Consider the following 12,305-nt stretch of genomic DNA (forward strand, 5'->3'; position numbering starts at 1 on the left):
CGGGCTTTCGGCATGTTGCCCCAGCTAGTCTGGAACTACTGGGGTCATATAATCTGCCTGCTTTGGCTTCTCAAAGTGCTGGGATTACAGGCATAGCCACCGTGCCCAGTCTCAACATCTATAAAACGAACAGTGGTACCAAAAACCTAAGAAGTTAGGTTGGATCTAAAGATGAGGAGGATTCAATAAAAATATCAGAAAGACAGTATTAAGAAAATTGAATACACTCCTTGTCCTTTCATGGGAATCAGTGGCTTACGTTCTCTCAGCAAACACAGGAAGCCTTAACAGAAAGCAGGCAAAACAATCAAAAATACCCGAGAGAAGAATAAATATAGATTATGATCAGTGAATAACTGAGAAATAACCTGCCAAGCTAATTTCATACTCTAGTCTTTAGAGTTATGGATATTTGGAAACTTACAAGAAATATCCTGGTGGTAGTGGCCTCCGGATTGAGGTTGGGGTTGCAGGTGGCAAGAAGGTGGATTTGGGTCAAGAGCTGAACGTGCTGGGGATGGAAAGAAAATGATGAAGTGACATGTTACCACATTGTCATTTCAGGAATCCAGAGAGATCTTTTTTTTTTTTCTTCTTGGAGAAAGGATCTCTCTCTGTCACTCAGGCTGATGTGCAGTGATGCAATCATGGCTCCACGCCCTCTCAACTTCCTGTGCTCAAGCAATCCTCCCACCTCAGCCTCCTGAGTAGCTGGGACCACAGATGCATGGCACCATGCCTGGCTAATTTATTTTTATTTTTTGCAGAGACAGGGTCTCACTATGTTGCTCAGGTTGCTCTCGAACTCCCTGGCTCAAGCAATCCTCCCACCTCAGCCTCCCAAAGTGCTGGGATTACAGGTGTGAGCCACCGTAACCCAGCCCCCAGAGAGACAATAACCAAGATGTTTGCAACTTTATCACATATATTTTGCTTTCTGAAAGGAGTATGAAAATAACATAGGATCTTGGCATAAATCTCTCAGACATGTTCCCTTGAACAAAATGACAGAACCAGAGGAAGCTTAACCTCAATCCAGAGGGACTGAGGTTAGAAAAAGGAAAAACAAACCTACTTCTCACAGTGAAGGTTGTTAAATTTCAGAATAGATTACTAAGGACTCTTTGAAATCTATATTTCTGAATACCATTAGTGTCCTTGTGTGCTCTCTTCCTTGAGCCATAAGGCATGAACATGATGACTTCTCGAGCTCCTAATGATGTGAAGATACTATGGTTTTAGGAGGTGGTAAGGTAACTATCTCTGACTTTTACAAAGCTGTTAATTTCTGGCCTCAGAGTTAGGCCTTGGTATAATCCAGTATTAACAGCAGGGCGCAGTGGCTCACGCCTGTAATCCCAGCACTTTAGGAGGCCGAGGCGGGCGGATCACAAGGTCAGGAGTTCGAGACCAGCCTGGCCAATATGGTGAAACCCTGTCTCTACTAAAAATACAAAAATTAGCTGGGTGTGGTGGTGGATGCCTGTAATCCCAGCTACTTGGGAGGCTGAGGCAGGAGAAATGCTTGAGCCCAGAAAGCAGAGGTTGAAGTGAGCCGATATCGGGCCACTGCACTCCAGGCTGGGAGACAGAGCCAGACTCTGTCTCAAAAAAAAAAATCCAATGTTAACATGACCAAGAAAAGTCCTACCTGCTGCATCTGCTGCTGGAGTCTCTTCCTCTGTGCTGGGTCCAGAATCAGAGTCTGATGAACTTTCTCACTCTGGGGTTTAACCTTCTCTACTTCCTGCAGCTGTTTGGCTGAAGATTTCTTCATCTTCAGCTGTTCAAATAGCTCCTTCACTGTCCGATGTTGTTCATTTAACAGGTTGGCCAGTGGTTCCTCAAACCTATTCCCAACAGGGAGATGACTGAATTTGAGTGTTTCCGTAGGTCCACAACACATCCAATTCGTTCCAATGATGAGCAAAGAGCCTGAACAATTTTCATTCCCTACTAATCCCCCATCTCACTTTAGCCAACAGTCAAACTCTCAGCCTTTTACAAATCTTTTGCCAAAGTAGTTAGCATGCATCAAATATGATGATTCTATATTACACTCTATCCCATTCCTCTAAAATTCCTCTTCTAAATAATATACAAATAAAGAAAAAATTAAAATGCTAGGAACAGAGAAATATCTGGATAAGAAAGCAGCCAAGGAGCTGGTGGGAACTCATCATTCTCATTTCTTCTCTCATTTACTTGTTACTCCCATCCCAGGTTCAGCTTGTCCCATTTCCCTATCCACTCAGGCTGCACTGCCTTGCATTTTTTTTTCAAAATTTAAATATTTTTTGAGACACAGTCTCGCTCTGTCGCCCAGGCTGGAGTGCAGTGGCACGATCTCAGCTCACTGCAACCTCCGCCTCCAGGGTTCAAGCAATTCTCCTGCCTCACCCTCCCAAGTAGCTGGGACTATAGGCACGTGCCACCACGCCCAGCTAATTTTTTGTATTTTTAGTAGAGATGGGATTTCACTGTGTTAGCCAGGACGGTCTCCATCTCCTGACCTCATGATCCACCCATCTCGGCTTCCCAAAGTGCTGGGATTACAGGCGTAAGCCACCATGCCTAGCCCTCAAAATTTTAATTTTAAGTTTCAGAATACATGTGCAGGACATGGAGGTTTGTTACACAGGTAAACGTGCACCTTGGTGGTTTGCTGCACCTATCAACCCATCACCTTGGTATTAAGTGCAGCTGCATTAGCAGTTTATCCTGATCCTCTCCCTTCCCCCGCTCCCCCAACAGGCCCCAGTGTGTGTTGTTCCCCACCCTGTGCCCATGTGTTCTCATTGTTCAGCTCCTACTTATAAGTGAGAACATGCAGTGTTGTTTTTCTGTTCTTACGTTAGCTTGCTGATGGCTTCACCTCCATCCATGTCCCTGAAACGGACATGATATCATACCTTTTTATGGCTGTATAGTATTCCCTGGTGGGATACTACATTTTCTTATTTATCTACTGCTGTAATATCGGGGATTCCTTGAAATATGATAACCTGCTTGTTGGCCGGACGCGGTGGCTCACGCCTGTAATCCCAGCACTTTGGGAGGCAGAGGTGGGCGGATCACGAGGTCAGGAGATCAAGACCATGGTGAAACCCCGTCTCTACTGAAAATACAAAAAATTAGCTGGGCGCAGTCGTGGGGGCCTGTAGTCCCAGCTACTCAGGAGGCTGAGGCAGGAGAATGGCGTGAACCCAGAAGGTGGAGCTTGCAGTGAGCCGAGATCCCGCCACTGCACTCCAGCCTGGGCGACAGAGCAAGACTCTGTCTCAAAAAAAAAAAAAAAAAAAAAGAAAAAAGAAAGAAAGATAACCTGCTTGTTGTAGCTACATAAACAGATTTTTTTTTCTTTTGAGACGGAGTCTCGCTCTGACGCCAAGCTGGAATGCAGTGGCATGATCTCGGCTCACTGCAACCTCCGCCTCCCAGGTTCAAGTGATTCTCCTGCCTCAGCCTCCTGAGTAGCTGGGACTACAGACACACGCCATCACACCCAGCTAATTTTTGTATTTTTAGTAGAGACGGGGTTTCATCATGTTGGCCAGGATGGTCTCGATCTCTTGACCTCATGATCCACCTGCCTCGGCCTCCCAAAGTGCTGGAATCAGGCGTAAGCCACCAGGCCTGGCCAACAGATCTTACCCTGACTGCATAGGGTATCAGCACATGCTTAATCACTTAGCTATCTTATTCTCCTTTTACTTCAGAACTGACATGCTGGGTTTTTGAATTTTTGCTTCAGCCCTGGAAAAAGTCTCCCAGGAGGGTAGGGGTGGGAAGTTAGGGTTGGGAACCTTAGAAGAGGAATTTATTTATTTATTTATTTATTTATTGAAATGGAGTCTTGCTCTGTCGCCCAGGCTGGACTGCAGTGGCATGATCTCGGCTCACTGCAACCTCTGTCTCCTGGGTTCAAGTGATTCTCCTGCCTCAGCCTCCAGAGTAGCTGGTATTACAGGCACGCATCACCACGGCCAGCTAATTTTTGTATTTTTTTGTAGAGACAGGGTTTCGCCACGTTAGCCAGGCTAGTCTCGAACCACTGACCTAAAGTGATCCACCTGCCTTGGCCTCCCAAATTGCTGGGATTACAGGCGTGAGCCACTGCACCCAGCCAGGAAGAGGAATTTAAAGGGCTAAAATAAAATACCTTCATGGAGAGCAGTAGGGTAATATTTGAACCAACCACTCAGTTCTGTTCAGGTAAACTATCATTACTTTAGTTATTTTAGTATATCCTTTTCCTGCTTCATGCTAGAAGATTTTTGACTTGTTAAGAAAGCAAGCCTTGCCAGTCAGAATGACAATTATTAAAAGGTCAAGAAACAGTCGGGCGTGGTGGCTCAAGCCAGTAATGCCAGCAATTTGGGAGGCCAAGGCAGGTGGATCACTTTAGGTCAGTGGTTCGAGACTAGCCTGGCTAACATGGCGAAACCCTGTCTCTATGAAAAAATACGAAAATTAGCTGGCCGTGGTGATGCGTGCCTGTAATCCCAGCTACTTGGGAGGCTGAGGCAGGAGAATCACTTGAACCCGGGAGGCAGAGGTTGCAGTGAGCCGAGATCGCGCCACTGCACTCCAGCCTGGGCGATAGAGCAAGACTCCATTTCAAAAAAATAAAATAAAATAAATAAATAAATAAAATAAATTCCTCTTCTAAGGTTCCTAACCCTAACTTCCCACCCCTACCCTCCTGAGAGACTGTTTCCAGGGCTGAAGCAAAAACTGAAAAACCCAGCATGACAGTTCTGAAGTAAAAGGAGAAAAAGATACTTAAGTGATTAAGCACGTGCTGATACCCTATGCAATCAGGATAAGACCTGCTGATGTAGTTACAACAAGCAGGTTATCATATTTCAAGTAATCTCCAATATTACAGCAATAGATAAATAAGTGTTTTCAATAGTTAATTTTTAAAAGTTATCATTTATCTATTGGGGATAAAAATCATTCTTTCTTTTATAGTATTTACTGTGGGTTTGGGCAGCACAGGGTAAAAACCTAAAGCCTGTGGGACTGTCTTATGCAATCTTCTGAGAACTGAAAACCTGATCACCTGCACTACTACCACTGAAGGAACAGAAGACCAGAAGCATAAAAAAGTAGGTAATGAAAACATAGCCTGCACGTAGTTGTATTTTTTATTATTATTATTATTATTACTATTATTTTTTTTTGAGATGGAGTTTCGTTCCTATTGCCCAGGCTGGAGTGCAATGGAGTGGTCTCGGCTCACTGCAACCTCTGCCTCCCAGGTTCAAGCAATTCTCCTTCCTCAGCCTCCCAAGTAGCGGGGATTACAGGCACCTGCCAACACGTCCGACTAATTTTTTTTGCATTTTTAGTAGAGACAAGGTTTCGCCATGTTGGCCAAGCTGGTCTCGAACTCCTGACCTCAGGTGATATGCCTGCTTCGGCATCCCAAAGTGCTGGGATTACAGGTGCCAGCCACCACGCCTGATCTATAATTATTATTATTATTATTATTATTATTTTTTGAGATGGAGTCTTTTTCTCTCTCTCAGGATGGAGTGCAGTGGCATGATCTTGGCTCATTGCAACTTCTGCGTCCTGGGTTCAAGCGATTCTCCTGCCTCAGCCTCCTGAGTAGCTGGGATTACAGGCGAGTGCTACCATGCCTGGCTAATTTTTTTATTTTTAGTAGAGACGGGGTTTCACCATGTTGGTCAGGCTGGTCTCAAACTCCTGACCTTGTGATCCGCCTGCCTTGGCCTCCCAAAATGCTGGGATTACTGGCGTGAGCCACCGCACCCGGCCTATTATTATTTTTTGAGAGACAGTTTCACTCTGTTGCCCAGGCTGGAGTACAGTGGCACAATCTCAGCTCAGTGCAACCTCCGCCTCCAGGGTTCAAGTGTTTCTCCTGCCTCAGCCTCCCAAGTAGCTGGGATTACAGGCGTGTGCCACCACACCCAGCTAATTTTTGTATTTTTAGTAGAGATGGGGTTTCACCATGTTGACCAGGCTGGTCTGAACTCCTGACCTAAAGTGATCTGCCTGCCTTAGCCTCCCAAAGTGCTGAGATTACAGGTGTGAGTCACCACACGTGGCCTTGCACCTAGTTTTAATAAGTATTACTTGGATAACTGACAAGGGAAGCACAGATAACTCACTTTCCCAGGGTTTTTGTTTTGTTCTTTTTTTTCCTCTCTCTTCTTTATTGTGTTTTAAGAAGTTTTTACTATCTATGGACTTACAGAATCCAGGATGCTTTATTTAGTCAAAGATTATAACAGGTTTGCATTTGCAACTGAAAGAGAAGCAGCAGCTGCCCAAGTACAGTCATGTGCCACATAATGTTTCAGTCAATAATGAACCACATATTCAGAGATGGCTCCATAAGATTACTGTACCTTTTCTATGTTTACATACATATGTACTTACCATTGTGTTACAACTGCCTACAATATTCAGCAGAATAACATGCTATACAGGTTTGTGGCCTGGGAGCAATATGTTATACCGTATAGCCTAGGTATGCAGTAGGCTAAACCATCTAGGTTTATCCAAGTGCTTTCTACACAATGATGAAATCGTTTAATGATAACATTTCACAGAATGTATCACCATGAGATGATATATGACTGTATTCTACTGAATACCAGAAGGTAACTGAATTCTAACAAGAGTTTTAAATTATTTCTATACTTTACAAATTTTATTTATTTTATTTTATTTTATTTTTTTGAGACAGAGTCTCTCTCTGTCAAGCAGGCTGTCATCTCAGCTCACTGCAACCTCCGCTTTCCGGGTTCAAGTGAGTATCCTGCCTCAGCCTCCTGAGTAGCTGGGATTACACACACCCGCCACCATGCCTGGCTAATTTTTGTATTTTTAGTAGAGATGGGGTTTCACCATGTTGGCCAGGCTGGTCTCGACTCCTAACCTGAGGTGATCCCCCTGCCTCCGCCTCCCAAAGTGCAGGGATTACAGGCATGAGCCACTGCGCCCAGCCTACACTTCCCAAATTTTAAGAAGTTACAAAGAGTCAATCAGCAGAACCAAAACACGTTTATAGATCAAATCCCATTATATGTTCCCAGGATGAATGGTTCCATTCTGCTATAACAGAATTTTGTTGTATGAGCTGTAACTTAAAATAATGGGTCAAATACTGACTTAGCAATCTTGAGGTTTTTGATGTAGTTGTATTGTGATATTTGTTGTAATGGAGAATTACTGGTATTTCTAGTTTTTAGACATTGGTTGGCATATCTTATCTTTTTTCACTAAATTGAAAAATCTCTAAAGGTCTAGCTTTCAGATGGATCCCAAGCTCTCTGCTTAGTAATGCTGTTAGGTTCAAACCCAGGACGAATTACAGGGACTATTCTCTTTGCTTTGTTCCACTTATGGCACAAACTGCATCCTGACATCTAGCCATCCATCTAATGACTACATGCTGCTACTCGCAATGGATAACAATACAATAAAGTGCAGATGCAAATCCACCACAAAATGAGGAAAAAATTAAAGCCTCTACTTTCTGGATGCTGTAACACAAGTGCCAACTTTAGGCAAAAAGGTCAGCACGTATGTTTCAGACTCCTTACTGCAGGTGCTTCAGGGTTTGCTCCACTAATGCCTAGGTGACTAACAAATTTTCAGTCACATTTAGCAGATATTAATGGCACATAAAAAGAACAAAAGGGACAGACAGGATATTACAATATGGGGTAGTTTGTGTGGCTGGCCACATTGAGTCCTACATACCTCTCCAGCACCACTCACCCGGAGAAGTGGATATGGATGCCAGCTACTGTTTTTTCTCCCTTCCCAAACGGATATAGCTTGGCCTACAGCTGCACTGCCCCATAACAAGGAGACTTCACTTGACACCTAACTCCTGACAGGGCTCTGCATCCTTACATCAGTAACAGAAGCTGGTTTGGGATGAAAAATTATCAATTGCAACTTCTGAAAACCTTTTCAGAAATAAACTTTTCCTCTATTCCAAATCTCAAGGTCTTCAACTAGCCTACCGTAGAGCTTGAGGGGTGTTAAAGTTAGGACGAGGCTCAGCTACACACTCCTCCTCTTCTGGGCCATCATCTTCCATGTTGGAGAATCCCATCTCATCTTGGAACTGTGGGCAAAGGAAAGGGAGGGTTTTCCTGGGGAATGGGCCTCTGAATGTTGCTCCAGTATTGGGAAGGAAGAGTGAAAACTATAGATTACAAGACTATAATAATGCTGGCACCCAGAAAGAGCCAATGTCAGAACTTTCTCACTTCAGGATTCCCACAAACCCACACTTGGGATGGCTATTATGCCAAGAAAGAAGTCATTCAACCAGTCAACTTGTAACAGTAAGGACAGAGCGTGGATAACTCAAAATTATCAATCTCTCTCTCCTTTTTTTTTTTTTTTTTTTTTTTTTTTTTTTTTTTTTGAGACAGAGTCTTGCAGTCTTGCTCTATTGCCCAGGCTGGAGTGCAGTGGCACAATCTGGGCTTACTGCAACCTCCGCCTCCCAGGTTCAAGCAATTTTCCTGCCTCAGCCTCTGCAGTAACCGTGACTACAGGTGCCCGCCACCATGCCTAATTTTTGTATTTTTAATAGAGACAGGGTTTCATCATGTTGGCCAGGCTGGTCTCAAACTCCTGACCTCAGATGATCCACCTGCCGTGGCCTCCCAAAGTGCTGGGATTACAAGCGTGAGCCACTGCACCCAGCCTCAAAATGATCAATCTCTTAAAATGAAAAATCTTTTGAAACAAATTTATGAAAAAGGTAATTATTTGTACACAAAGTAGTTTAAAACTAGTTGACAATCTTTAAGGACACACCAAATGACAGTAGGGGAAGTCATCAAAAGTTTTCCAGGGGCCAGGCATGCTGGCTCACACCTATAATTCCAGCACTGGGAGGCCCAAGGCAGGAAAATTGCTTGAGCCCAGAAGTTCCAGAACAACCTGAGCAATGTGGTAAGACCCTGTCTCTACAAATAAAATAATTAGCTGGGTGTGTTGGTATGTCCCAGCTACTCAGGAGGCTTAGACGAAGGACTGCTTGAGCCTAGAAGGTCAAGGCTGCTGTGAGCTGTAATTTCACCACTGCACTCTGGCTTGGGTGATGGAGCAAGAACCCCCTCAAACAAAAAGAAGTTTCAAGGAAAATGTTAATAAGAACAACATACATGTATATAATCAAGAGTCTAGTAGTTAGCAAAATTCCCTTGTCATTATATTCTTTCCCAGGTAGACTAAAAGGAGAATTGGTTCAGTCAGACCCCCTCTCCTAGAGGGAGCATCACAGAGACCAAATGACACATCTTGCTGGAGAACTGACTTAAAATCCCGTGTTCTCACTCGAGGATCATTACTCACAGTTTCAAACAGCTCTTCCATCAGCTCATTTACTTCCTTTTCTGCAAGAAAGCCAGACAGTATATTGTTGGTATAAATTAGATTTTACAATAAGGAGGAATTCCATGAAGACAATGTATAATGTTTTCAACAAGGCATGACAAATTCTTCATATCTATCCTTCTTTTTTTGAGATGGGTCTCACTATGTCACTCAGGCTGGAGCGCAGTGGCACGATCTCAGCTCACTGCAACCTCCGCATCCCCTCCCTGGTCCAATCGCTCCTCCCACCTCAGCTCCCCAAGTAGCTGGGACCACAGACGCATGCCACCATGCCTGGCTAATTTTTGTATATTTTGTAGAGATGAGGGTTCACCAGGCTGGTCTCGAACTCCTGAGCTCAAGTGATCAGCCCAACTCGGCCTCCCAAAATGGTGGGATTACAGGTGTGAGCCACCATGACTGGCTATCCTTCATTCATTTATTCAAAAACATTTATTGAGGCCGGGAGCGGTGGCTCATGCCTGTAATCTCAGCACTTTGGGAGGCCAAGACAGATGGATCACAAAGTCAGGAGATTGAGACCATCCTAGCTAACATGGTGAAACCCCGTCTCTATTAAAAATATAAAAAATTAGCCAGCCGTGGTGGTGGGCGCCTGTAGTCCCAGCTACTCGGGAGGCTGAGGCAGGAGAATGGCGTGAACCCGGGAGGCAGGGCTTGCAGTGAGCCAAGACTGCGCCACTGCACTCCAGCCTGGGCAACAGAGCGAGACTCTGTCTCAAAAAACAACAACAACAACAACAACAACAAAACACATTTATTGAGCACTATGCTTCAATCCATGTTTTAGATGCTTGGGATATATGAGAGAATGAAAGAGAGATAGAGAGAGAGAGTTCTATTCTCATGAAGCTTAAATTCTAAAAGGAAGAAGACAGGAGAAAATGTGAGCTAGATGATTTTATAATTAGATGACCTATCCAAATCCACACAGTACTGAATGGAATCAAGAGATGAGTCTCCTAGCCTGGGCAAAATGTTGAAACCATATCTCTACAAAAAAATTTAGCTGGGCTTGGTGACGCACACCTGCAGTCCCAGCTACTCAAGAGGCTGAGGTGAGAGAAATCTCTTGAGTCCAGGAGGCAGAGGCTGCAGTGTGCCAAGATCATGCCACTGCATTCCAGCCTGGGCGACAGAGCAAGATATTGTCTTAAAAAAAAAAGAGAGAGAGAAAGACAAGTTTCCAGCAGGGTTTCACAGGACGCTGTCTTTGGATCTGAACTATTCAAGAACTCCATCGGTGACTTAGAAGACCCAGAGAACATACCTAACACATCTGTAGATGATGTAAAGCTGAAAGGGACTGCCAATCCAACAGACGGAAAATTCAAAATTATATTTTCTCAAATCAACTGGATGCAACATATACGGATAAATTTAAAGTTCTATGTTTAAGAATTTTTTTTTTTAATAGAGGCAGCATGTTGCTATGTTGCCCAGGCTGGTCTCAAACTCCTGGGCTCCAGCGATCCTCCCACCTTGGCCTCCCTAAGTGTTGGGATTACAGGTGTGAGCCACGGTGCCCAGTCCTACAGTTAAGAGTTTTTTCGTTTTTTTTTTTGAGACGGAGTCTTGCTCTGTCGCCCAGGCTGGAGTGCAGTGGCGCGATCTCAGCTCACTGCAAGCTCCATCTCCCAGGTTCACGCCATTCTCCTGCCTCAGCCTCCTGAGTAGCTGGGACTACAGGCGCCTGCCACCGTGCCTGGCTAATTTTTTGTATTTTTTAGTAGAGACGGGGTTTCACCATGGTCTCGATCTCCTGACCTCGTGATCCACCCGCCTCAGCCTCCCAAAATGCTGGGATTACAGGCGTGAGCTACCGCGCCCAGCAAGAGTTTTAAAGATCAGTTTATTAACTGCATGAAAAGGTGACGTGGCTTAAAAATAATGTGAACAAGACCTGAAAGTTTTGGTTGTTACAAGAATCTGAGGAAAAAAAAAAGTTTTGGTTGATATCAAGTTCAATAAGACACAGTTGCTCCAAAACGGGGCTCATAACCAACAAGGCAAACATATCACTGAACTAGAGCAGAGTCTAACACTATGTCTGGAGGACTGTGAACAATTCTATAAAGGCCCTTCTTAAGAGGACATTAAAAAAATTAAGATCCAGGCCACGGGCAGTGGCTTACGCCTGTAATTCCAGCACTTTAGGAGGCCGAGGCAGGCAGATCATCTGCGGTCAGGAGTTCGAGACCAGTCTGACCAACATGGTGAAACCCCGTCTCTACTAAAAATACAAAAATTAGCCAGGCATGGTGGCATGCACCTGGAATCCCAGCTACTCGGGAGGCTGAAGCAGGAGAATCACTTGAACCCAGGAGGTGGAGGTTGCACTGAGCCAATACAGCACCAATGCACTCCAGCCTGGGCAACAGGGCGAGGACTCCATCTCAAAAATAAATAAATAAATAAATTAGCCAGTCATGGTAGCACATGCCTGTAATCCCAGCTACTTGGGAGGCTGAGGCACAAGAATCTCTTAAACCCGGGAGGCAGAGGCTACGCTGACCAGAGATAGTACCACTGCACTCCAGCCTGAGAGACAGAGTGAGACTCTGTCTCAAACACAAAACAAAAACAAAAACAAAATCATTTAAGTAATTTAATTATTTTTTATTTTATTTTTTTGAGACTGAGTCTCACTCTGTTGCCCAGGCTGGAGCGCGGTGGCGCGGTCTCAGCTCACTGCAACCTCCACCTTCCGGCTTCAAGCAATTCTCATGCCTCAGCCTCATAAGTAGCTGGGACTACAGGCATGCGCCACCACGCCTGGCTAATTTTTTGTAGTTTTAGTAGCGACGGTGTTTCACCATGTTGCCCAGGCTGGTCTTGAACTCCTGACCTCAAGTGATCTGCCTGCCTCAGTATCCCAAAGTGCTGGGATTACAGGTGTG

The 12,305-nt window shown here is 44.6% G+C and overlaps 1 protein-coding gene and 1 non-coding gene across 21 annotated transcripts in view; both read right to left on the bottom strand.

Moving 5' to 3' along the window:
- GON4L (gon-4 like) overlaps positions 1-12,305 on the bottom strand; it is a 114,320-nt gene that overhangs the window by 30,859 nt on the left and 71,156 nt on the right. For 15 of the 20 annotated variants that reach the window (XM_047423299.1, XM_006711394.5, XM_047423298.1 and 12 more), the window contains exons 13-16: positions 9,364-9,404; positions 8,016-8,119; positions 1,652-1,850; positions 425-511 (exon numbers count right to left, since the gene is read on the bottom strand). In XM_047423299.1, coding sequence (XP_047279255.1) covers positions 425-511; positions 1,652-1,850; positions 8,016-8,119; positions 9,364-9,404 — 431 coding nt within the window. The remainder of the gene's footprint in view (positions 1-424; positions 512-1,651; positions 1,851-8,015; positions 8,120-9,363; positions 9,405-12,305) is intronic. The other 5 variants (XM_047423284.1, XM_047423301.1, XM_047423282.1 and 2 more) reach the window with 1 other exon arrangement.
- Positions 7,714-7,862, bottom strand: SCARNA26B (small Cajal body-specific RNA 26B). Its single transcript, NR_132767.1, has one exon.

The sequence above is a fragment of the Homo sapiens genome, chromosome 1 (genome assembly GCF_000001405.40).
Source record: "Homo sapiens chromosome 1, GRCh38.p14 Primary Assembly".
NCBI lineage: Eukaryota > Metazoa > Chordata > Mammalia > Primates > Hominidae > Homo > Homo sapiens.